This window comes from Homo sapiens, chromosome 9 (genome assembly GCF_000001405.40).
Source record: "Homo sapiens chromosome 9, GRCh38.p14 Primary Assembly".
Classification (NCBI taxonomy): Eukaryota; Metazoa; Chordata; class Mammalia; order Primates; family Hominidae; genus Homo; species Homo sapiens.
Genome location: NC_000009.12, coordinates 23522527 through 23547607, shown reverse-complemented (window position 1 = coordinate 23547607; position 25081 = coordinate 23522527). Strand labels below are relative to the sequence as shown.

Sequence of the window (25081 nt, the reverse complement as noted above, 5' to 3'; positions counted from 1 at the left end):
AACAGGCAACCTATAGAATGGGAGAAAAGTTTTGCAATCTACTCATCTGACAAAGGGCTAATATCCAGAATCTACAATGAACTCCAACAAACTTACAAGAAAAAAACAAACAATCCCGTCAACAAGTGGGTTAAGGATATGAACAGACACTTCTCTTTCTTCCTTTCTTTCTCTTTCTTTTCTTTCCTTCCTTCCTTCCTTTCTTCCTTCCTCCCTTTCCTTTCCTTTGTTTCTCCCTTGTCCCTTTCTTTCCTTCTTCTTTTCCCTTTCTTTCTTTCTTTCTTTCTTTCGTTCTTTCTTTCTTTTCTTTCTGTCTTTTCTGTCTTTCTGTCTTTTCTGTCTTTCTGTCTTTCTTTCTTTCTCTTTCTTTGTCTTTCTTTATTTTCTTTCTTTCCCAGGCTGGATTGCAGTAGTGTGACACAGCTCACTGCAGCCTCTAACTCTCAGGCTCAAACAGTCCTCTCACGTCAGCTCCTCAAGTAGTTGGGACTACAGGTGTGGGCTACCACACCTGGCTAATTTTTGTAATTTTTTTTTTTTTTTTTTTTTTTTGTAGAGATGGGGTTTTGCCATGTCACCCAGGCTGGTATCAAACTCATGAGCTCAACCGATCCACCCGCCTTGGCCTCTCAAAATCCTGGGATTACAGACATGAGACATTGCACTTGAACCAGCATCATTTTCTATCCCTGTCCCCTTCATGCTCTCTACTTCAGCCACCCTGGCCTCCTTGCTGTTCTCTGAGCCTGCCAACCGTACACCCACCTCAGGGCCTTTGCACTTCCTATTTCCTCTGTGTGGGGTAACATTTACTCTTATCTGATCTCACATGGTAGCTTCTTCACTTCTTTTAGCTCTCTACTTAAGTGTCACTTCCTCAGAGAAGCCTTTACAGAATACCCCATATATAATAAAACATGAAATACCAATTATGTATCATTTTTTTGCATCCAGCTTTCTTTTTCTTCATAAGCATACTTGATATTGTTATATTTGTTTATTGACTATCTCTGCATACTAGAATGTAAGCTCCAGGAGGACAGGGACTTTGTTCATTGCTTTATCCTGAGCACCTAGAATGGTGCCTGGCATAGGGTAGGTGCTTAATAAGTGCTTTTTGAATGACAAAAAAAATAAATTAACACACAGTAGAGAATGTGCTCTAAGAGTTATCTCTCTTGGTGGTACAACTCTTTCAACTCATTCCTGTTGTGGTTAAGAAAGATAAGATCCTCATTTTCGTGGCCTTTATGTTCTAGCAGGAGAGGTAGTTGAAAAAGTATGCCTATATTTTCATTTCAGATGATAGCATGTCCTATGAAGAACATAAAGGAGGGAAATGGGAAAGACCATGGCTGGGTTGGGATGATGGAAGTTCTTTTAGGTAGGGTGGTTAGGAAAGACCTCTGTTTCAAAAGATGTGTGCAAGTGAAGAATTGAGGAAATAGCAGGTGTAAAGCCCCTGAGGTTGGAATAAGTTAAGTATATTTGAGCCAACATAAGAATGCCAGTGTGGTTGGAACTTGGTGAACAGGAAGGAGAGTACTAGGTGGGCAGAGGCCCAGTCCTTTAGGACTTACAAACCATAGTAAGGAGCTTAGATTTTATTCTAAGGGTAATGAGAAGTCATCCACTGAACCAGGCTGGCCCGGTCAAGTTTTAGTGTATAGCCTGTTTATAATTCCACTGACCTTGACCCTGCTGTGGGATCCAGGTTACACAATCCAGAGTCCCGCCTTCTGGACAGTTTCCTTTATGAGGCTGCATGATGTCCTTTCTCATCATCCGGTTTTAGTTACAGCAAGACAGTCCATCACACACATTTTAAAATAAATATATTTGATATTCATCTGGGAAGAGTCAAGGTCCCATTCTTTGTTTTCCAGGTTTAGGAGAAGGGGTCTACCTCATTTCTCTCTTAATGCCCATACATGATACTTCAGCGTCAAAACTCTGGACTATGCCCTTGAACTGCTAAAAATGTTAGTTAGTACCCACTTGCGCATGCATGTACATGTGCACACCACAAATGTACTCAAAGTCTTGCAGCGTTTTTTTTTGTTTTTTTTTTTGTTTTTTTTTTTGTTTTTTTTCAGACAGAATCTTGCTCTATCAACCAGGCTGGAGTGCAGTGGCGTGATCTGAACTCACTGCAACCTCTGCCTCCCGGGTTCAAGAGATTCTCCTGCCTCAGCTTCCCAAGTAGCTGGGATTACAGGCACACACCACCATGCCCGGATAATTTTTGGTATTTTTAGTCTCTACTGAAAATACTCTACTCCTGACCTCAGGTGATCTGCCCGCCTCGGCCTCCCAAAGTGCTGGGATTACAGGCGTGAGCCACCACACCCAGCCACTCTTTCAGCTTTAATGTCTATACTTTTTTTTTTGTTTTTCCAGTAGAAGACCCTTTTTACTTCCTGCATTGGATTTCTAACATAGTGTTGAAAAGTTCTGCAAAATTTCCATGATTTTGAGCCACTCAGAAGAAAATTCTGGCAAAGAACTTTTAGAGATGTGCAGTTCAAAGAATCTCAGGTTTGGAAAAATTTTTAGAGATTCCCATCTTTAAGGTTTGTTTCCAGTAGGAATAGGTTATTGGGTATCAAGTTATTACCATTTACTTTATCTTTTTTTTTTTTTTTTTTTTTTGAGGCGGAGTCTCGCTCTGTCACCCAGGCTGGAGTGCAGTGGCACAACCTCGGCTCACTGCAAGCTCCGCCTCCCAGGTTCACTCCATTCTCCTGCCTCAGCCTCCTGAGTAGTTGGGACTACAGGCGCCCGCCACCACGCCCGGCTAATTTTTTGTATTTTTAGTAGAGACGGGGTTTCACCGTGTTAGCCAGGATGGTCTCTATCTCCTGACCTTGTGATCCACCTGCCTCAGCCTCCCAAAGTGCTGGGATTACACATGTGAGTCACCATGCCTGGCCTACTTTATCTTTTAAAATGTTGTTAGGCCAATATTTTAATACTCTTTTTTTCTTTTTTCTTTCTTTCTTTCTTTCTTTTTTTTTTTTTTTTTTGAGACAGAATTTTGTCTGTTGTCAGGCTGGAGTGCAGTGGCATGATCTCAGCTCAGTGCAACCTCTGCCTCCTGGGTTTAAGTGATTCTCCAGCCTCAGCCTCCCCAGCAGCTGGGACTACAGGTGTGCACCACCACGCCCAGCTAATTTTTGTATTTTTAGTAGAGACGGGTTTCACCATGTGGGCCAGGATGGTCTTGATCTCTTGACCTCATGATCCGACCACCTCGGCCTCCCAAAGTGCTGCGATTACAGGCGTGAGCCACTGCACCTGGCCATATTTTAATACTCTTCCAGGTTTGATCCAAATTCGTTACCTTATAAAACTGCCCAGTGGAATATTGGGCTGAGATGGCTAGTATTAGTCAAGGGTAGTGGCAATCCTTTCAAAATTTGCAGGGAGAAAAACATTGTCATATTAGAGGAGATAATTTTCTCAATGTTTTATCCCAAAATTTATTCTTTGACTTTGATGCCTGCTACCACTTGTCTGGTAGCAAGCACTAGCAGACGACCAAAGAAATGAACAAGCAGCAAATGAATATTAATGGAAAAATTCTGAAACAGTTGATCATGCTTGGTTTGACAGCTTGTTTCTTTGTGGACATGTGGGCTCCCAGTTCTACATACAGAGTTTTTCTCCTAGTAAAATTGTTCCTGCTTCACATGATGAAATTCACTATGCTGATATTTTAAGGTATTTGGCAGAACATAGTATTTTGCAAAGAGCGTTATTTCTTCCAGGTTCTTCTTTTCTTTCATAAGTCTGAGAAACATTAAGTTTTAGGGATCAGCTGAGGTCTAACCCTTACAATGTCCCCAAATAAGGTTCTGTCTCTCGGCCACCAGAATGTTTCTGACTAGTTTTTAAAAGGCTGTGTGAAAATGTGGCTACCTCAAGTGTTCAGGGATTCAGGTTCACTTACTCATTCATTCGCAAGCCTGGGCCTCTTCGTGTTGTGCTGAGTCATCTGTTATCAGCTTCAAATGACCTTCATCTGCATCTAAGCTTTTATAGAGGAGAAGCTAGAGACATGTCTTCCAGGATCCCCCTCCCCACATGGTTCCAAGTTAGGGTCTGCCCATGACAGCCAATCATGTCAGATTTAGAAGGTGAACAGAAAAAGAGGCCATTATACTCCAGAGGCAGTGTATGCAGATTTGTGAACCGGTGACAGAGGAGGTTTGCAGAAGCTTATAGCAAGCTCCTGTGAATTACCTGCTTTGTGATCCAGGCAGTGGAGGTAGACAATGCGGCTTTTAAAAAATCTTTAGTTGCATGTTCTGGCTGAGATAGGGAGAGGGAGCTTCCTGGAGGTTCTTGACATTTGCAGCAGCTTCTTGGGAATCACAAGTCTCACTGTTGTGGCAGAGATCTTCAGCAAATGCTTGTCTGTTCCTTGCTGCCCCAGCCCTTCCAATGATTGCTCAAGCCTCTGATTCCCTCTATTCAAACCCTTCATCCTTAGAACATGTGGAGGTTGGAGGTTTTAAGAAATGGGACGTTTGGTTGGTCCTATCAGGCATTTTGTGCCACCAACCTTCACAGTCCCATAGTATATCATCAAATGGGTTGTAATTTTTCAACTTGCCTAATAATCCCTTTTCATAGCATCAGCCTGGTGGGAAGAAAATCTCTAACACACAAGTCTCAAAGGACTTGAGAGGACACTAATCTGTTCAGATTTTACATCACTGGATTTACCAAACCCTCCTTGAATCTGTTTACATTTTCAGTGTTACCAGCACTTGGAAAATAATTTCACTCTCCTTCTTTTATTTTTCCCCATAACTATCATGTTTAATGCAAAACCTGGCTGGTATCACTGAAACAGTTCCTTCAGGACTTTCCAAGTTAAACATACTAGGCATAGTGAAATCAAACTTTTTCCTAGGAATGTTCTCTTGCCCAATATCTGTGTTAATTATCATACTTGAAGCTGATCAGGGAAGGGTGCTGAAAGCAGCAATGTAATAGACATCTACTACTTCCTCCAAGTTTGCTCAACATGCTCAACATGATTGTGTAAAAATATTTTCATCTTAGCTGTTTCACAGAGAAAAAGCAGCACAGAAGTTCAAATAAAATAAATTTTAAAATAGATATGGAAGCAGAGTGAAGGGATTACTTAGGTAGCTTAACTCTTTAATGGATATAGGCTTAGAGAGCCAGCTGGGCCCATCTCCACCATTGATGAATCCTGATGAATGGACCAAAGTCTCTCCTGGATTAGCATTAAGATGAGTGCAGCTGTTGGCATTGGCCTCCATGTTCTATGCCAGGTGGCTTAACAGGGTGGCTAACCCCATTTTTTGTCAACATAATTTTCTTGACATGTTAAAACATTCCATTGTGTTACCGTGAGTCATGTTTTAGGAAGCATCTCCAGGGCTGATGTTCCACTGTTGCACCACCTCTATGACCCTACCAATTATTAAACTATTGGAAAACTTTCTTGCTACTGGGTCGCTCCTTTGGGTCTTCTCATTGTACTCTACCATCTTTCCACATTTCTCTGTATTTCAGCAATTAAGAGGTTCCTAATGTCTGGCACAGCTGGGCAGCCCCCAGGGCCTGTACACTCTCTCTGGTTGATACCTGATTCATACCAGCTGTTAAATATTAACATTATGTCAGTGTACATTTGTTGAAGAGCTGAAATCTCAGAATAATTTTATTTCCATTTCACTGTCTCATACTACCATCAATGAGTGGCCAATCAGGAATATTCATAATTTTAATGTAATCATATGTAATTTTGGTGTAAAACAAACATAGACACCCACAAATGAGGCTATTAACAGCCTGGTTAGATATTCACTGGACAAGAGAAGGGGAGTGAAACTTCAGAGAAGGGTGCCTTCAATTCTTTTCTACTGTTGGAAAGTTAAGCCATAGAGACTGTCCTTCTCTTGTTGTTCCATTCTCAGACCCAGATGTGGCACATGAAACAGAGTTGGCCAGGAAAAAGAAGTCCCTGTAAAGCTCATGTCAGAGAGAGAGAGAGAAGGAAGAAGCATGGATGGGCCTTAAAGATATTCTAGGTGTGTAGGTTATTCACCCCTGAGATGGGTTTACAGTGTGTGGTGAAAGAACCCTGGCTTTGTTGCCACAAACCCGTTCTAATCTGAATACTGATTTGGCCACTTCGGGCTCTATGACTTTAACCTCATTGGGTCTTAGTTATTTTATTTTATTAATTTTTATTTATTTATTTATTTATTTATTTATTTATTTATTTCGAGATGGAGTCTCACTCTGTCGCCCAGGCTGGAGTGCAGTGGCACAAACTCGGATCACTGCAAGCTCTGCCTCTGAGGTTCCCGCCATTTTCCTGCCTCAGCCTCCCGAGTAGCTGGGACTACAGGTGCCCACCACCACACCCGGCTAATTTTTTATATTTTTAGTAGAGACGGGGTTTCACCGTGTTAGCCAGGATGGTCTCCATCTCATGACCTCGTAATCCACCCGCCTCGGCCTCCCAAAGTGCTGGGATTACAGGCTTGAGCTACTGTACCCCGCCTGGGTCTTAGTTATTTTTAAATGGGGATAATTCACAGGGCAGTTGTGGGGATCAAGTGAGGTGGTTAATATATACAAAGCACATAGCACTCAAATGATAGCTGAAACCTGAACCACAAAACAAAACCTACCTGCTCTTCAAATTTCTTATTCTTGACAGTGTGCAGCAAAGGCTCCTGGCCAATGGCACTCTGTGTTGTGACTGTTTTTTGTTAGTTTCTGTCATGGACTTTCTTATGTATTAACATACCACCTAAGGGGCCTGTATGCTAATATGAAGGTCCTGTCCAAGAAAAAGGAAATGAGATCCAAGGCTTTCCCTTATCACTTCTAGGAAGATGTGGCCAAGGAGAAACAACTTCCTATTCCTATCCTGTAGCCTGCCAAGCCTGAGAAGCTACCTCCCTGAAAATCTTCCTAGGACTCCTCAGCTTCCTCAATGCTACCAAATACCCACTATCTCCATAGACACACACAAATGTAAGTATGTCAAGTTACCATTTTTCTAAGCTTGTCCTCCCATCATGATCCTCTACCCCATCCCACAGGCTACATTCCATGTCTTCTTGTGGAAACCAGGAGCACTTCCTGACAATGGTGGACATGCCCTTTTGATAGTAAAAGTTGTGTCATAGTCTTCTCACTGCCTCTTGAGCAATGAAGCTCACTTCCTGTGCTTTAATATTTGCAATATGTGATTATTATCTTTAAAGAAGGTGACAAATAGGAGCAATATCAAATACCAGCACAGATTGATTGGTAAAAGCTGCTGGTATACTGTGCTTTAGCAGAATTTGAAGGCTAGAATTAAAGCCTTTAGTGACCAGCAATGTCTGTAACGGGTATGAGAAGGGATGGTGGCAGTCTATCTGTAGAGCATTTGCTCATCTTATTTTAAAGTGGTCTCTTTGGTTCATGTTATAACAAAAAGACTTTTGTAAAGGTAAAAAACAGTAGATTGAATGGATTAGAGAAGTCTTTCTTAGAAAATTATAGAACACAAACTATAGAGATACCCACTCCTAAAGAGTGTTCTATGATTTCAAATTGGAGGGTGTATTGTTATATGTGCAAGATGGGTTTTCTGGTACTTATGTCTACATGAAAAGAAAAGCTAACATGCCGTAAAAAGAAAAGTATGTATGTAAGTGTGCATAAACAATATGTCCTGGCTTTCACCTTTATCTGCTAAAGTAGGGTATATAGGCAGGCCTCCTTAAGTTTTCAATTTTTGACTTTCTTTAGGGGTGTTTGCACAGTGTTCTGTACTACAATGGGTTGTGTCCATTTCCTCCTTTTCTTTTTTCTTCAGCCCCTCCACCCACAATGATGTCCTGGTAAGCTACTTGGTATCTTACTGCAACAAGTATTCAATGAAGAAGCTTGATGTCTGTGCTAAAGATGCCATCCCCTGAGGTTCTGAAAGCTGTAAATGCTCAAGCTCCTGCAGCAGTGCTACTCAGGGGAAGACAGCCCCCACTCTCCGTGTCACACTTTGTATCTTGGGCACTAAAGCAGCCCTGCACTTAATCCATTCCTTCTGCTTTTGCATGTAACCCCTGTCTACTCAGGGCTCATGCAAATAACTGGGTGAGGTTTACAGGCCTTGGTAAGCTCCTGTCCCATCCCTCACAGATGTGTCAATTGCACTTCTTGCAAAACTGCTTGTCCAAGTTGCTAGCTTGTGGGCTGGTCTTCACCTGACATTAGTACTTGGGCAGTTAGAGTTTTTGATCTTTTAGACTATAAGTTTTTAGTGAGTCAGGTTTTCTGTTTAATTCTTCACAGCCATTTTACTTCACAGTAAAATGGTATGGTTTTTGCTGTAGCATACAGGAATATCTAGAATAGTGGGGGTATGGAAAAAATGTTTCACATTTAGTTTAGAGCTAGTCTTCTTTTACATTTTCTTATATTCCATTTTGTTAATTTCTAGTATTTGTTAATTTCTGTCATTTGTTTATTTAACATTTATTGAGCTACTCTGAAGAGATAACACTGTATCCTGAACCAATAAATACGACTACTACAATCTCTGCTTTCAAGTTTCTATAATTTTGGGGAGAAAGGGAGATAAACACGAAAACAAAATTCTGTTGATGAGTGTAAATGGAAACACTCAAACGTTTATTTCCAGAGGATAACTTATGAAAGGAAAACATTAATCCCAGCCAGATGAGGGGATCAAATGATATTTCTCACTTTCACTTTGCCACCCAATCTCAGACACTATCCTCTCTGGGCTGACATTGACTTCCTCCAGCTGACAGAGGCATCATTAGTGAGTCCTGAGCTGCCAGTATGGTCTAAAAACTAAAATTTAACAGCCTCCTGAGCTGGGGAAAATCTTAACTGAGAACTGCAAGGAATAGCTGCCTTGGCACAAGCTGTGTGGAATCTTAAAAGGGAGCAGGTTTTGAGGCCAAGATTTATGTTCAACAGCTAATGCTTTAGAGACAGAGTTATATGTAGAAAAGCTGACTCCGTGTTTGTCCCTTACTGATGCAAATAAGAGTCGCATCTGTAACCCATGTTTTATCTGTTTATTTTTTTTAGACCCTGACATAATATAAAAGGTGAGTATTAAGGCCCACTAAACCTCTGAAGGTCTATCTGCTTATCCCATTGCAGGACAGAAGTAAAAGGAGCCACGAAGATGATGGAAGTCGGTTACCACATCGTCCCTAACTGTAGGGGTTGGTTAGCTGTACATGTCAATAGTTCTAATGAGGGCTGTGGAGTAATTTGTTAAATAACCGAGTGAGCATGCCAGTCAGAAGCTGCTGGATGAGAGCGCAGCATCAATTAGAGACAAAGGAAATCGCTTGCTTTTCTCTGCAGCGAGCGGGCCCTTGGAGGCGCGGCACTAGCTGGTCCAGAAAAAGCAGAGAAAGCAGAGGGAAGGAGTGGGGGACGGAGAAGGCAACTCAGCCCCCTGGAAGTCTGAGGGGTGATAAAGAAAAAGACCCCTCGCTCACGCTGAGCAAACACATATGACCAGAGCGGAGAGTGGAAAGAAAACCCTGCAGTCCCCAGGGAACTTGACAGAGAGCATCTGACAGCCAGACTGAGTGACCAGCCAGACCATCTGCTCCCACACGTCTCTCCCCAACAATGGGGGCTTCTGCAGACCTTCTGCCCCCTCCCCCTCCCTTACCCTTAGCATGAATTTAAATGAAGCCTCACAACTGGGGGGCAGCGGCTCCCGTTGTGATCTCTCACACAGAGAGAGCTAGCCTAGTGCCCCGAACAGGAGGCCCGAGGGGAGAGGTTAAAATCTCAGCTGCCCGGAGAGATGATTACGGAGCCGCTCCCAAATTAAGCTGCTTCACTGCTGGTCCTTGGGCATGTGTTCGGATAATTGTGCTTGAATACTTAATGCTTGATTGACTTGGCTGTTTTGCGTTTGACCATATTTTGAAATGCGATCTCACTCTTGGGGTAGGCAATTAGCATAGAGCCCACGGGGTTGCAAAGAGTGAAACTGAGTTGCTTCTATGGTGATTTCTGCTTCTTTCCTGGATTCAGCACAGAAAGCTGAGTGTTCTACTGGGGCTCATTTGCCTATATTTGGATCATCTGGAATTTTGATCTTAAAGAGGAAGTCTCTGAATCCTGAACTTTAGCGTAGCTGCCAACTTTGATCTTTGCGCCTTTGGTAACAGCTGAGTTTTGCTTCGCTTTCAAGTGACCTTTGTTCCGGTTCAACAGTGGAGGAATAGAATAGGAGAGGTGGGGTCAGTGCTCAGAAAAGGAAAATTAATGCCAAGCATCAGAAAGGCTAGAACAGAATGAGGGTGATAAATTAGGACACAGAATCCATAATTTCAAGATGACAGTCAGCTGAGTGGCTTTGGTGCCCTGTCTTGTTCAGTTCTTTGTGGGTGTATCTTAAACATCTTTGTATCTCCAGCACCTAGCACAATGCCTGTCTTTTAATAAGCATTTAGTATTTATATATGTGGCAATGTATGTTAAGGCTAGCACAGTTTCTTGGAGAAAGGAGAAGGGCAATTAGCAACATTAAAAAAATCTGTTTGATAACATTTTTAAATGCTGACTTTGAGCACCACTTTATTCTTGGAATAAAGCATTCCAGTTAAGTATTACAAAAGGCAGGCAGTGGATCTCACAGATTCAAGATGACTTTGGGGATATTTGAAACGATCAACTCCTTATAATAAAAGGAGGCTAGGTCTCTATTCATTTAATCTCATTAAAAGCAGTACAAGCTGGAAACGATTTATTTAAAATGAAGAGGAAGGTTGACCATGGAATAGTCAGATGACTTAGTGTGTAGCACCAATTTCATAAAGTGAAAGTGTTCATTCTATAAATGAAGATGCCACAACCCATTTGTTGAGTTTTGTAACAAAATAAGAACGAATAACTAATTAAATATGTTATGAAACCTAGGCGATGGATCTCCTGAAACAATTCCAGAAATACAGAAAAGTTATTGGAGAGATCTAAGACCAAATGTTGATAATATGTGTGAAGTAGCAATTTGGGTGTTATTTTGGATCTCTGAGGACTAAATCTGAGCAAAATGAGAGTGTTCTCTGACTCAGTAGTGTAAAATCCAACATATCTAAGATATGCAAACCCAATTTATTTGTAAACTGATCACTAATATCCTTCAATCTCGAGGAACAACTCCTATGTTGTTTTTATTGTTTTTCTTTATAAATAAGATTGATTTTTTCATTTGCATCTGTGTTCTTTGCTTGTTAAAGACTTTTTCTTGTCCTGGGTGTTTAATCAACTCTTTCAAAAATAGTTGTTTATAATTTTTGTGCCTTTGTTCTCTCATCTGTAAAATGGGAATTTTAATAGCATCTACACATAGAATTTTTTATTGTGGTAAGAATTAAATAATAGGTATAAGATGCTTATAACTGGGCCTGGCACATAGCATTTACACATATATTGGCAAATCAAACTACAGCTAGATTGAAGGAATAAGTTCTGGTTTCTCTAGCACTTAGAGCAACTATAGTAAACAATAATTTATTGTATATTTGCAAATAGCTGTAAGAGAGGATTCTGAAATTTCCCGACACAAAAAAATGATAAATGTTTGAGGTGGTAGATATGCCAGTTACACTGATTTTATCATTACACATTGTATACATGCATAGAAATGTGTCTCTGTACCACATAAATATGTACAATTATATGTCAATTAAAAATTTAAAAGATTAATTATTAATTTGAGCACCTTTTAAAAAAGTATAGTCTCATTTCTATTTCTTTTCTGTTTAAGTGTGTGACTCTGCTTTAGAATTCTGTAGACTTCCCCAAAAGATAGTGCAGACAAATTTATTATAGTAAATACTTTTGTAAGGTCATATATTGAGGTATAATAATTCTCAGTCACTGCCCTAAATTTGAAATTCTAATTATACAATTTAGCATAAAATCCTAGCAGCCAGGGAGCCTGGGTTAAGTATTAACAAGGCTAAGTATTTTCATGTAGCACATAATGCAGAATAAAGTAGTGAATAAGAAAGTGGAGCATGAATCTTGGCACTTTCAGTTATTAACCTCTTTGAGCCCTGAGATTCTTATTTATCTCTCAATGGGGTGATAATACCTATGCACAAAATTGATGAGAAGATTAAATAAGATAATATATGTAAAATACTTAGTAAAGTGCTTGGCCTCTATAGAAAGAACCCAATAAGTGGTAAGCATTATTTTATTATTATTATTGCTATGATCATCATCTTAGGTCCCAGAAATTGGAGGATGGGCCTTTTCTTACTTCTCGTGAGGAAATATCCTCAGGGGAAGCTCATGGGGGACACTTTGGAATCTTAGAGGGTATGCTTTGGTCTATTGCAAAGAAAACAGGAGACATGGGTTGAAATTCTTAAGATGAGTTGTAGCTTACAGTCCCCCTTAGAAGGCTCTACAGAACCGAACTGAAAGCCCTTTTCTGACAAAGGATGACTTTGCTGCTACAGAAGCAAAGTATTGTTCTCCTCCTTCTGTGTTCTCCTTCTGCCCCCAGAAATCACAACCATCATCATTATAAAAGCACCATTTATTGAGTTCCTTATATGTGTAAGGACTTTATTTGCATTATATTTGCCATAGAAAATCTAATTTGCAAGCTAGATATTATACCAACTTACCAGTTGTGTAAAAATCACATAGCTAGTGGGTAGCAGAGACAAAGATTCAACCCAGGTCTTTCTGACTGCTAAACTTGAGACTTTATCATTGTTCTCTGCACATTTTACCACCTTGGTGCTATCTCAAACTCTAACCTTAACAAAAGTCTCTAAAAACAGTGATAACGAAACATTTTTGAGGATAATTTTTCTTCTCAACTTGAGTTGTATTTCTTTTCCTCCCCTACAGAGTACAAAATTATCAGAATCCACACATATACACACTTGTGAAACTGTAGTGCGAGTCACTACTCTGAGTGATGTTACATATAGTTTGGCTGTAAGAAAATTAAACTCTATTTCAGGAAATGGTTGCCAAGACCAGTAATTTTTTTTCATATAGAAGCAGATGCCAACAAAAGAGTAAAGCAAATTAGAAAAAAGTCAGCCAACCACAGACAGTAAATACGTATAATATTTAGATCAATATTCTAAAGAGGTTGAGACATGTTCAAGGTCAGTCACTCAGTAAGTTAGTAATGGAATAAAATTAGACTCTAGCCTTTGGACATTCATTCCAGTACTTTTTCCTGTAACTTCTGCAGTCTTCCAGGGGTTGGGGTGGAAGAAAAGGGAATAGCTTTTTAACAAAAATGAACTGGGGAAAAGTGTTTAACACACTCCAGGAATAGTATTAACTGAGGAAGGTCTATAATTTTTGAGCTTTTTTTTACATGAGTTACCACTTTTTTATTTGTATTTTTTTTATTTTACTTTAAGTTCTGGGGTACATGTGCAGAATGTGCAGGTTGGTTACATAGGTATACATGTGAGCACTTTTTTTTTTTTAAAGCAAGACAACAAATTCATTTGCAACTTCACAGCAACACAGATCACCCAGAGATGGGATGCTGTTTTCTAATTTGACATCCCTGGGAGGAGTAACAACACAAATGCTTGATTGTTCAGTGACTGTAGGCACAGCAGTTTCTGAAAGAAAACTATGATTCTCTACAGAGACTCGAAGTTGACTGGGGAGAGGACAACTGGCTAGAAACAGTGCTGGGCACTTGGCTTCCCTGAGATTTGACCTTAACACCTGTATGTCCCTGGAGTTGAAACAACTGAATGCACATTACAGCGTTGAGATTTTATCTGCCTTTAACTGCTCTTCAATAGCAACAAGATTTTCGCATTATTTTCCGGAATACATAACTTTTAGTTAAGGAAGCAGGTTGATGATGGCAGGCACTGAAGCCCGTAGTATTTATCCATTAGCTTGGTCTTCTTGACTATCTTAATGCCTCCTACCCGCCAATCTTGGTGAAAGACTAACTCCAGACTATTTCTATTTTTCCTTGCAAGGAAATACTGTGTACATAATTGATGGCACTTTCAGGTTGCCCACCCCCTTGGATCCAGGTGTCATGCCAGAAACAGCATATTTAGCTTCCAGCCTTGTCTTGGTCCTGAGCATATCCTCCACTGTACCTGTTTGAAGGACCACCCATTCCAATTAAGTATCTCAGGGACATCTGAGGTGCAGGCAAAACCTGTTTATGGCAACCTCCCATCTTCCCTCTCATAGTCTCTCTAATTCCTTTTAAATATACCTACTAGCTCCCCAGATGCCCCTAAAATCCTATTTGTATGTTTGAATTACTGAAGAGTTTATTTTGACGTAACAACAAGTTTCTATACAATTCTACTAATTTCTACCAAAAAGTAATACGAATCACTTGTATTTGTATAGCTCCTTACATTACAAAAATCATCCACATAGGCAGCATTTTATTTTTCTTGCTAACTCTGCCAAGTGGACCAGATAGGTGGGTTATCTACACTGTACAAATAGTAAGACGAGGTTAGAGAGGTTTAAAGACTTGCCCCAAGTCACACTGGGCAGTGAGCAGTGAAGTCAGATGGAGCCAGGTGTTTTGAATCCTAACAGGGCACTCATCCCTGAGATGGAATTCCTCACAGTGTTTTCACTTCGAGAGAAAATGCCTCAAGACAGAAAGGTGTTTAATGCACAAAGACTGTATGTATAGATTTTAGAATTATGGCAGGTATTAAGCAAAGGTTCACTTTGGGGCACCTCTTGATTGATATCATACAAACCTAAAACAATGAAGAAAGACCATTGGAAGCATTTCTCTCTTTAAGGTCTTATCCCACAGCAAACATTTGACAATTTTTTTTTTTCAGAAGAAAAGAGGTATATTTTTATCATTGTCAAGGATAAATAAAAGTCAGTGTCAAGCCCAAAATACTCACTGTTTCTTCCATTTACCATGTGCTAGAGGATTTTTGTGAGAGGTTTGAAGCTTCAAAATAGATGCTAGGCAAATGAATAAACAGGGTTAAATTGATGGGAAATGGCTAAACAACTAATGTCAGACAATCAAGTTAACTTCTGGTCATCATGTTGGCTGTGGGGTCTTTAGAAGATTAAATTGCGTAATAATTTCTTAGGTTCTTGGAAAATGAGAGTCAGCACTGTAATTATTTTCAGGTGGACAAATTATCCTTATCGTTATAGAATAAGCAACTTCTGATTTTGAGAAAGAACAGATGTCCCAGCCATAGTTGCTAGTTATATAAACCTAACAAGTTGAGATTGTGTTGTTGATAATTGTTTTTTTTCATTTGTTTCAAGAGAATTCATCATTGCTCATGGAAGCATTTTTATGATGGTTACTTTAACATCTTTGTCAGATAATTCGATATCTGATTAATCTTGGTGTTGATGGCTGTGGATATCTTTTCTATTTAAATTGTGATTTTCTATTGTATCATGGACATTTTGGATGTTATATTGTGGCACTCTGGATTCTATTTAATCTTTTTTTTTTTTTTTTTTTTTTTTTTTTAGTGTTATACATAGTCCCCCTATTGAGGTGTAGCCTGAGGGCTGGGTATGAGTATGTGTCCAGCTTCCCAATGGGCTCTGCTAGTAGCAGAAGTGAAGTGCTGGTTCACACTGCCTTACTGCAGGTTGGTGGGTTAAAAATTTAGCTCTTTCCTTAGCCCCACTGACATGTTTCTAGAGAAAGTGGGGTATTAATTCGTATTCCTTCTTTGCCTCCGAGTGGGCGTGTAAGACCAGCTAATGACTGTGACTGTGCCCTGACATCATCAGCGAGGGAGGAAAGCAGAGGACTGATTCACATTGCTTTGTTGCTGCAGGATGGGACGGAAGCCCAGCTCCTGGCTGGGTGTCCTTAACACAAAAAGAGGGGATGGGCCGGGCGTGGTGGCTCACGCCTGTAATCCCAGCACTTTGGGAGGCTGAGGCGGGTGGATCACGAGGTCAGGAGATCGAAATCATTCTGGCTAACACGGTGAAATCCCATCTCTACTAAAATTACACACAAAAAATTAGCCAGGCATGGTGGCGGGCGCCTGTAGTCCCAGCTACTCGGGAGGCTGAGGCAGGAGAATGGCGTGAACCCGGGAGATGGAGCTTGCAGTGAGCCGAGATTGCCCCACTGCACTCCAGCCTGGGCGACAGAGCGAGACTCCGTCTCAAAAAAAAAAAAAATAAATAAAATAAAAAGAGGGGATGGCAGGACAAGGAGTTCCAACTAACCCAGCCCCATACCTCCTATTACTGCTGGGTGGGCATGGATGTTTCAGCTTTCCACTGGGCTTCACTGCCACAGGGCCAGGGGAAAGTGGACTCACAGTTCCTTTAAATTTTTTTGTTACCTGGTAGGGACAAGAGGCTCCTCTTGCCTCCAGACCTCTATTAGGGGTCAAGAAACTACCCATGTGGGGAATATGAGCCTCACTGATGGTTTCTATAAGGAGAGAAACCTTATAGGTGGGTGGAAGATGAGCGCTGTACTCAGCCTCACTAAAACCACAGGATGGGGGAATGCAGTTTTTTCTTTAGGATTTGGCTGCAGTGAGGTGGTATTGCCATAAATATTTCTGTTGGTTGGACACCCTGTCCTAGTCCTTTGGCTGAGGAGAGTAGGCTTTTTCTGTGCATGTTGACGGTCTCTTGTTGGAAGCTTCTGCAGTGCCACGTCTGGGATATATGAGGGGCTAGGGGAAGTAAGGGGAGGGAAACTTACTACAGTGTCTTTTCTTAAGTCCTGAGATTGCTAGGCAGACTGTCTTTTCCTCCTCTTTCAGAAATTGAGTCAGCTTGTTGGTGCTGTTATGGCCACGATTTTCTAGTTGTAAGAGGAAGAGTTTCTGCTTCTGTAAGAGGGGGAAATGGAATAACTCCCATCTTGTCTGGAAATGGTAGTCCCTGTTTTTTAAAAAAGAGTTATTTATTTATTTATTTATTTTGAGACAGGATTTTATTCTGTCTCCCAAGCTGGAGTGCAGTGGTGTGATCATAGTTCACTGCAGCCTCGACCTCCTGGGCTCATACAATCATCCCACTTCAGCCTCCTGAGTAGCTGGTTCTACAGGTGCATACCACCATGCACAGCTAATACTTTTGGTCTTTTGTTTTGTTTTGTTTTGTTTTGTGGAGATGAGGTCCCGTATTTTGTCCATGCTAGTCTTGAACCCCTGGCTTCAAGTGAGCCTTCTGCCTTGGCCTCCCAAAGTGCTGGTTATTATAGGCATGAGCCACCACAACCAGTCTAGAATTCATTTAAAAAAACCTCTTTGTTTGACCTTCACTTTGATCAAACTGTTTTTATGGACCGTGCCATAGGAGTAGTGTGTGTGTGTGTGTGTGTGTGTGTGTGTGTGTGTGTGTGTGTGTGTGTGCGCGCGCGCGCTTGTCCACACACACAAAATTTTCCTTCTCCTAATAACCATTTATCACATTTTGCCTTTCCTCCTCCATTTTATATGTGTATGTGTATATTTATGCGTGTGTGTATATATAGTGTTTTTGTGGTTGTTGTTGTTGTACCATGCAAGTTTACTTTGTTTCTCTAAGTGCAACTTTTCTTCATACCCCTACTCTCAACTCATTCTAAGTTTTTCCCCTATAATTCCTTGCCTTAGGGTAGATATAAGAAAATCAACAGTATTTACTTAGGTCGCCAAGTGATCTCAAGAATCTACCTGTTAGTCTACACCAATTTGTTCATTTCCTCTGGTATTGTAATTTTTTCTTAGTGGCCTTGCATGGAGAATTCCTTGAGCTCAGGGTTCTGACTATTTACCTTTATATCCAGCACATTTGGGCTCAGTGCCTGCTTCCTCAGTGGTTCTCAATGAATGCTTGTTGAATAAAATGTCCATATATGAACATCTTTATTCACCCTTGCCTCTGATTGGAATTGTTCCATTGTACATCCTCATGTGCAGTTTGTTAATATATTTGAGAGTGAAATCTATGGCCTACCTAATGTTGAGTCATCTCTCTCTATAACTTTGGGTAGTTCAAAGTTTTAGTTATCTACTGATGTGCAATAAATCACTTCAAATCTTGGTGCCTTAAAACAATGATTTTTGTCATTTGGGTAGAGCTTGGTGGAGACAGACAGCTTATCTATGTTCCATGCACCATCAGCTAGAGTGTTTTAACTGGGGCTGGGGGATAGTTCACTCACATAACTGGCAAGTTGGTGCTGGCTGTTGGCTGATAGCTCAGTGGAAATTATCAGCCAGGGGCCTTGATTATTCTCCACATGAGCCTCTCCACATGGCTTCTTGGGCTTCCTTACAACATGGTGGCTAGATTTCAAGTTGTAGAAGCTGCCAGGCCTTCTTAATTCCTGTCTTGGAAGATTTATAATATTTTTTTTCTCTGCATTCTATTGGTCAAATCAGTCTCAGATCCAGCACAGGTTCAAGGCGGAGGAATGTGAGTTCCACCTTATTGTGGCTGGAGCAGCTTGTATATATAGGAAGAGATGGAATTATTTGGGGCTGTCCTTGGAGAACAGATACCACCTGTAACTTTAGCTATCTGCCTTCAACTTTTTTATCTGTAAAGTGTGAATTGGAGGGAGGACACAAACAGTTATATGTAATAGAGTTGCTATGAAAATTACCAAGGATAATTCACATAATAAGCTTAAATGATTCCTGGCATGTAGTAAGCAGTCAATACATTTTAGTTAATTTTTTAAAATATGGGAATGGAAAATTGTTACAAAACACTGAGTTAGATAAGAGCATACTTTTTCCTAATAAATCTCATTTAGACAATTTTACTGGTTAATATTTCCTTTGACAGCTTCAATGAATGCATTCTCTTTGATTTGCTTCCTCTTAAACAACTGAAGTTTTTTTTTTTTTTTTTTTAAAGACCTCAAATCAGTAGCCATCAAATGAAAAAAAAATAACTCACAGTTATGTTGTATAATGACTTTTGGTATCTCTGTTGGAATCCTTTTTCTTTTTATACTCCCTTGCAGGTATTATTAGATGCTTTTTTTGCTTGATGTCACTTTTCAGTCCCTCCACATTGTACTTTGAAAAAGCAGTCCTCTAAAGAGATATAATGAATGATATTGGAAGGATATGCCCTTGGAAGCTGCTCTTGGTTTTCTCTTCAGAAGCACTCATGTGCAGTTAGTCCTTTAAAAAAAAATTACAGGTCAGTGGAGGTCTTCAGCCAGATGAATCCAAGGAATAACCAAGGGTGCAAGATAAATTCCCAGTCAAGTAATCTTTACATTTTAGCAACTCCAAGAGAGTTTCTTGTTTCCATACTAGAGATGGGAATGTTTGCCAAACAATGTACTATTAAAATTATGTAAATTCATTATTTTTGGCAGTTGAAATGTTAGCCAGGTCAAACTTTCATTAACCAGTGTGTAGTGTCTCTGTAACTACCTTGATTTTGTATTAAAATAGCTATCAGGTTCATGCCATGTTTTTCTTATAGCACAGTGAATTTCCATTCTTTTCTTTTTATTCTGTGTCCATACCTGTAATTTCTCCAAGTGATTAAGACCATAAGTTGTTCCTTCTACAGCTGACATTTCTTTCTACAGTTATTCATCTCCTTAGTTCTTTTAACAGCCATGTTTTATTAATGGTCATTTACCATGCAGTAATAAACTCCATGTCATTTAGTCCTTCCGGAGTTTTCTGGTCTTTGATTACAGTGTAACATATTGCCTGATTAATTGGTCATCATTGCTGTTTTCAGCTTCTGCATGCACTAGTTAAGGTTATTTTTTCCCTTTTTGGCTTTAATATCCTCTGAAGATTTTCAACAACGTTGTCAGTTGTCCCTAACTTCTCACTTCCTTTTTGCATTCCCTGATAGCAAAGAATGTATAATGAATCCTTGTAAATGGCTACTGTCTACTCTTATTTCAGCCTAGACAGTGTTTCTCAAATTTTAGTGTGCCTCGGGAGCACGTAGAGGGCTTAAAACATAGATTTCTGGAGCTCCCTCTTGGAGCTTTTGATTCAGTGGGTCTGGGGTGTGGCCAGATAATTTATATTTCTTACAAGTCCCCAGTGATGTTGATGCTGACTACCCAGGACAAAGCCCTGAGAACCAGTAGCATAGCAGATGAACATGGTGGTTAAGAGCCTGGATTCTGGGTTCCGCTGATAGGGGTTCAGACCACTGCTCTCCCACTTAACTTTCCCAACCATGTGAACTTGGAAAAGTTACTTAATCTCTGCCAGCTGCAGTTTCCACACTTGGAAAAGGGGAAGACCAACCTTCCAGACTTTTAAGGAATGAATTCGATACTCCATGTAAAGCACTTAGTTCAGTGGCAAGAAGCAAATGCTCAATAACTGTTAACTACAGGTATTTTTTTTTATAAGATGTGAGTAATTAATGTTCAAGCTCAATTACCAAAAGTAATAAAATGTGCCTCCTTCAGCAAATTGGTCACTTTCTCTGAAACTTGATTAACTATATTGCTGAGGTAAAAATGCATTAAAAAAAAAAGATTGGCCATGTGGATGCAGTGGAAAAATTATGAAATTTGAAACCAGGAAAATGCCTGGGTTTTAGTCTAGACCCTGCTATTGCTAGCTTTGTGACTCATAGCAATTTTCTTCATCTCTCTGATCCAAGTTTCCTGTAAATATCCTCTGGAGTGGTGATATAAATGGTAAGAACTGTTATATGGATCAAATGAGCCAAACCATTTGAAGGAATTTTGTTTTATTTCCTACTTTAATGTTCTGTACAAGTGTAGTTATTGTTATTTTTATTGAGAATAAGGATCTAGAGTAATTTTTTGTACTTATTTACTAAAAATTATAAAAAGTTATGCTTCTTATGGAATGGCAATTATGAAAAAGACTTTTCCACTATAATTATTTTGAGATGGTAGTGACTGTAATTGGGAATTGTTAGACACTTGCTTAGATATTGGGATGTGCTATTATCTATTAGTAATCTAGCCAGATCTCTTTCTTTTTGACTACAGTACTGGTTCATCTTTAAACCAAAAGCACACTTAAGAAAGCTTTGTTCTTATGCTGTGAGTTTAATTTTGACAATAAATTTTAGACAAAAATAACAGCCTTATTTTCAGTTGATACTATAGGATTCTTTCAGAAGACAAAAAGAAGCACCATTTGATCACATTTTAAAAATGTAGCATGAAGCACTGTGCTGGGCACTCCGGGAGATGTCAAAATGAAGCACACGTGCTTTGTGCTTTAGATGCATTTTTCTTCAGCAGAAATCAGAACAACGTACAAATTCACCACGTATGTCACAAAGAAGGACGAGTCAGAGGGCGAAGTGAGTTTAAAAAAGGAAGAGATTATTTCTGGCTCAGGGTTCAGCACCCTCCATTTTCAGGCCACGCACTGAGCCACATTGAGCCAGTGTATCCGAGTATCATCAGGGACCTGGAAAGGACTTGGCAAGCCAATTTATTGACCTTCACAAAGGATTATATTTAAGCCATCTCAGACAGATAGAATCTATTCTCCATTGGGGGAAGAAATCCTTCTCTTGAAGGAGAGTCTATAACCTTCCTTATTAGCTCATTTCAATATTTAACAGCCTTCGCTTGCTGCAGAGAAGCCTGTTTTAACTCACACATGAACATCAGGATTTGTCCTACCCAGACTCCGTGAACACCAACTTGCCTCTTTATGCTAGGCAACCATTATCTTTGGAGACCCCCATATTATTGCTTTAGTTGGTTAACCAATTTAACTAATAATTCTGGGAGTCAGAATATAATACTGGTTAGGAGTGCTGAGAGTCAGGCAGTCCTGGATGAGGGTCTGGGCTTCTTCACTTTTCTGTTATATCACCTTGGGAAAAGTTACTTAAAACCTCTGAACCTCAATTTTGTTTCTCATAGAATGGGTATAATAACACATCTGCCTCTTCAAATTGTGGTGAAGATGAAAACAGTGCATGTTTTAGGCTGAACTACCTGAAATTACCAGGTATGACCTGGTCATAATATATGACCCTTTTGGCCAATAAACACAGCAATTCTATGCAATTCAATCAATAAATGCCTTAGCAAAGTGCCTAGAGTCTACCAAATAGTCGCCATTATCAACAAAAGAAACAACTATTATTATTATTGCACTGCTGTCATTATCATTGTCATGGTCTGCAATATCCAGACTCAGTGCTGGAGGATATTCCTGCAAGGAAGCCAGTATAAAAATGGTTAGAACATTGTTTTGTGGAGCTGTGTGTATAATGCTATAAATGTGGGAAAGTAGAACATCTGGGTTGGCAGCCTACAGAAGTCAGGGAAGGCTCCAGAGAGGCGGCAACATTTGGACTGGGACTTGTAGGGTGAGTTGGAGATTTCTGAATAGAGAAATCGAGAGAACAAAAGCAGTAATCGGTGTGACCAAATCCTTAGTTCTTATTTTTGTTTCTGCCTCTGACACAATTTATTTCCTTCCCCAATTCTTAAAACAACCTTTTCTTTATTTACTATGTTCTGTGATGCTAGACTTTCTTTGTTCCTTCTTATTTCTTCATAGCTGTCTTTGTTTTCTCAACTCGTATTCCTCTTACTGGGAAGAGGAAAGGGCATGTGCCCAGAGCACAGAGCGAAGAGGGAATGTGGGAGATTTGGGCACCTGCAGTGAATTTTTGTGGCCAGAGGATAAAATAGGGCCAGTGGTGTGGAAGGAATTCAAAGTAGAGAGAGGAGAAGGGAGGTGGCTCAAAAGAAACAAAAATTTTTATTGGGGAAGTGCCATGATTGGTTTTGTAAGTTTGAAACTTTTCTCCAAGGGTTTTATAGAGAATGATTGGCCTGGAGCAAGCATAGAAGCAGAGAGGTGCATAAGGAGGCTATTGCAACAGCTCAGCTGAGAAATAGTGTAGGCAGAGCCCAGGGCAGCAGCAGTGTGCCTGAAGAGGAGTGGATGAAAATGAACTATTTCCAAGGTATGTATTAGAGGTTCTAGGGATGGGGAGTTAAGGCAGGAATGAAATGTCAGTTGACTTGTAGGGGTCTGACTAGCTAGAATTTCAACTGGGCCCCTGGATGGGGACTATGCTATTTCCTAAGATATAGACAATAAGAGAAGTAGGAGGAGAAAGACCAGGGCATGGGAAACGGGATGGGAGAGGGATAAGAAGGTAATGAGGTAAGTCTGGGTATGTGGCATTCAAGGGTGCGTGGGAGATTTCCATTTCCTGAGTTTTCTTAGAGCCTGATGTTTCTGATCTGACTGCACCGTAAGGTGTTTTGTTCTCATGAGCATCACAAGGATTCATGAGATCCTGTTTGGGCGTTCTGACAGCACAAATTACATTTTGTTTTTAAAATTTCACTAAGGTTTTGCCTGCCCAAGCACACTGGCCATGCACCTGTGCTGAAGTAATAGTTAATGAGTTTAAAAAAAGGTAGCTAACATTAATAGAATTCTTACTATGTTTTAGGCACTGTTCCAAGTGCTTTCTGCCAAAACTTCATTTAATTTTAGTAAACCTCCATGTGATAGGTAGCAGTATTAACCTCATTTTATAAACAAGGTAATTTAAGCTCTTAGAGGTTAACTAACATGTCCAAGGTTATATAACTTGAGAGTGGCAAGACCAGGATGCAAACCAAGGTGGAGGGCTGCAGGTGCTGTACTGCTAAGCATTATGTTGGGATAGGAAATTCGGCCTAGGCTAGAGAATACTGTCTATTGGAGTACTTTATACTGGGACTTTACTGTTTTAAAAAATATTTTTTATTTTTCACAAATTCTTCTACATAATGTTCTGAGCTTTGTCGATTCATAAAGACAATTCATGGATTAAAATTTATTTTGTCTATTCCACAGTCTCCACTGGGAACATTTCTGGAGTTTGGCTCTAGATAATCTCATTGTATTTAGTCTGTTTTGTTTGGCTTTCTACTTTGGTGCTCCTCCTAAGGAGGAGTCATATTACACTTACAAGTGATATTTACTTGCTAGTGTAAATTGATTAAATATATTGCTTATTTTTAATTTTAGCTGAAATAGAGGTTTTGTTTTGTTTTGCTTTGTTTTGTGTGTGGGGGACGGGGGAGCCTAAGTCATCTACGTGATGTGCTAATGTCTGTCATTCTCTTATAATCCTTTCATTTAGTCCTCCTGGGACTCCAGTAAGACAAGTCTTGCCTTTCATGTGGACTCATACAATGGTATGCATCAGTTGTCTCCAGCCTTTTTGGTACCACGGACTGGTTTTGTGGAAGACCATTATTCCAAGGACTGGGGTTGGGGGATTGTTTCAGGATGAAACTGTTCCACCTCAGATAATCAGGCATTAGATTCTCATAAGGAGCATGCAACCTAGATTCCTCACATGCATAGTTCACAGTAGGGTTTGGGCTCCTGTGAGAATCTGATGCCGCTGCCAGTCTGAGAGGAGGCAGAGCTCAGGCAGTAATGCTTGCTCGCCACTCACCTCCTGTTGTGCGGCCTGGTTCCTAATAGGCCACAGACCTGATAACAGCCCATAGCCTGAGGGTTGGGGACCTCTGGTATGCTGGGTCCTTGATGTAAAGGAATCCTCTAACTTGGTGGAGCCAAGTCACTGGTTAATGGAAAAACTATAAGTTAAACATTTTTTCCTGTAGTTATGCTTTTATGAATTATTTAACTGGGCTTTGTCCCTCCCTTTACTTAATTGCACTTATAGAGAAGAACTCTGAAGTCTTGGCATTAAGAATCCTTTAAACCACAAAGCAGTTGATTATTCTTTTTATTAAAGTAGGTGCTCACATTGGCGGAGTAAGAAGCACTGCACAGAAATAGCTCATTGGCAGAATTGCGCTCTCAAGGATGGATATCTTCAAGCCATCCTTGACCCTCTAGAGCAGAAAGACAAACAAGTGTAATGCTGAGGAATGGGAAAAATGTTTAATTGCAAGCAGAAGAATCTCACGTGAAATTGTGAGTGGACTTCAGTGATGACTATCAAAGGAAATTCTCATAATGATTCGTTTTTCTTCCCAATGATGGCACTACCGTTCTCAGGAAAGCCCAGTTCCCTTCCTGGCTTGGATATTAACTGATAGTTTGAATGAACATAGTATTTT

The 25081-nt window shown here is 40.1% G+C and overlaps 1 long non-coding RNA gene across 1 annotated transcript in view; it reads left to right on the top strand.

The window, feature by feature from the left end:
- Positions 1-25081, top strand: part of LOC101929563 (uncharacterized) — a 171709-nt gene that overhangs the window by 124792 nt on the left and 21836 nt on the right. Inside the window, exons 15-21 of the long non-coding RNA NR_121602.1 lie at positions 5958-6071; positions 6884-7029; positions 9181-9245; positions 21893-21980; positions 22795-22950; positions 24127-24181; positions 24757-24935. This is a non-coding gene — a long non-coding RNA (uncharacterized LOC101929563). The remainder of the gene's footprint in view (positions 1-5957; positions 6072-6883; positions 7030-9180; positions 9246-21892; positions 21981-22794; positions 22951-24126; positions 24182-24756; positions 24936-25081) is intronic.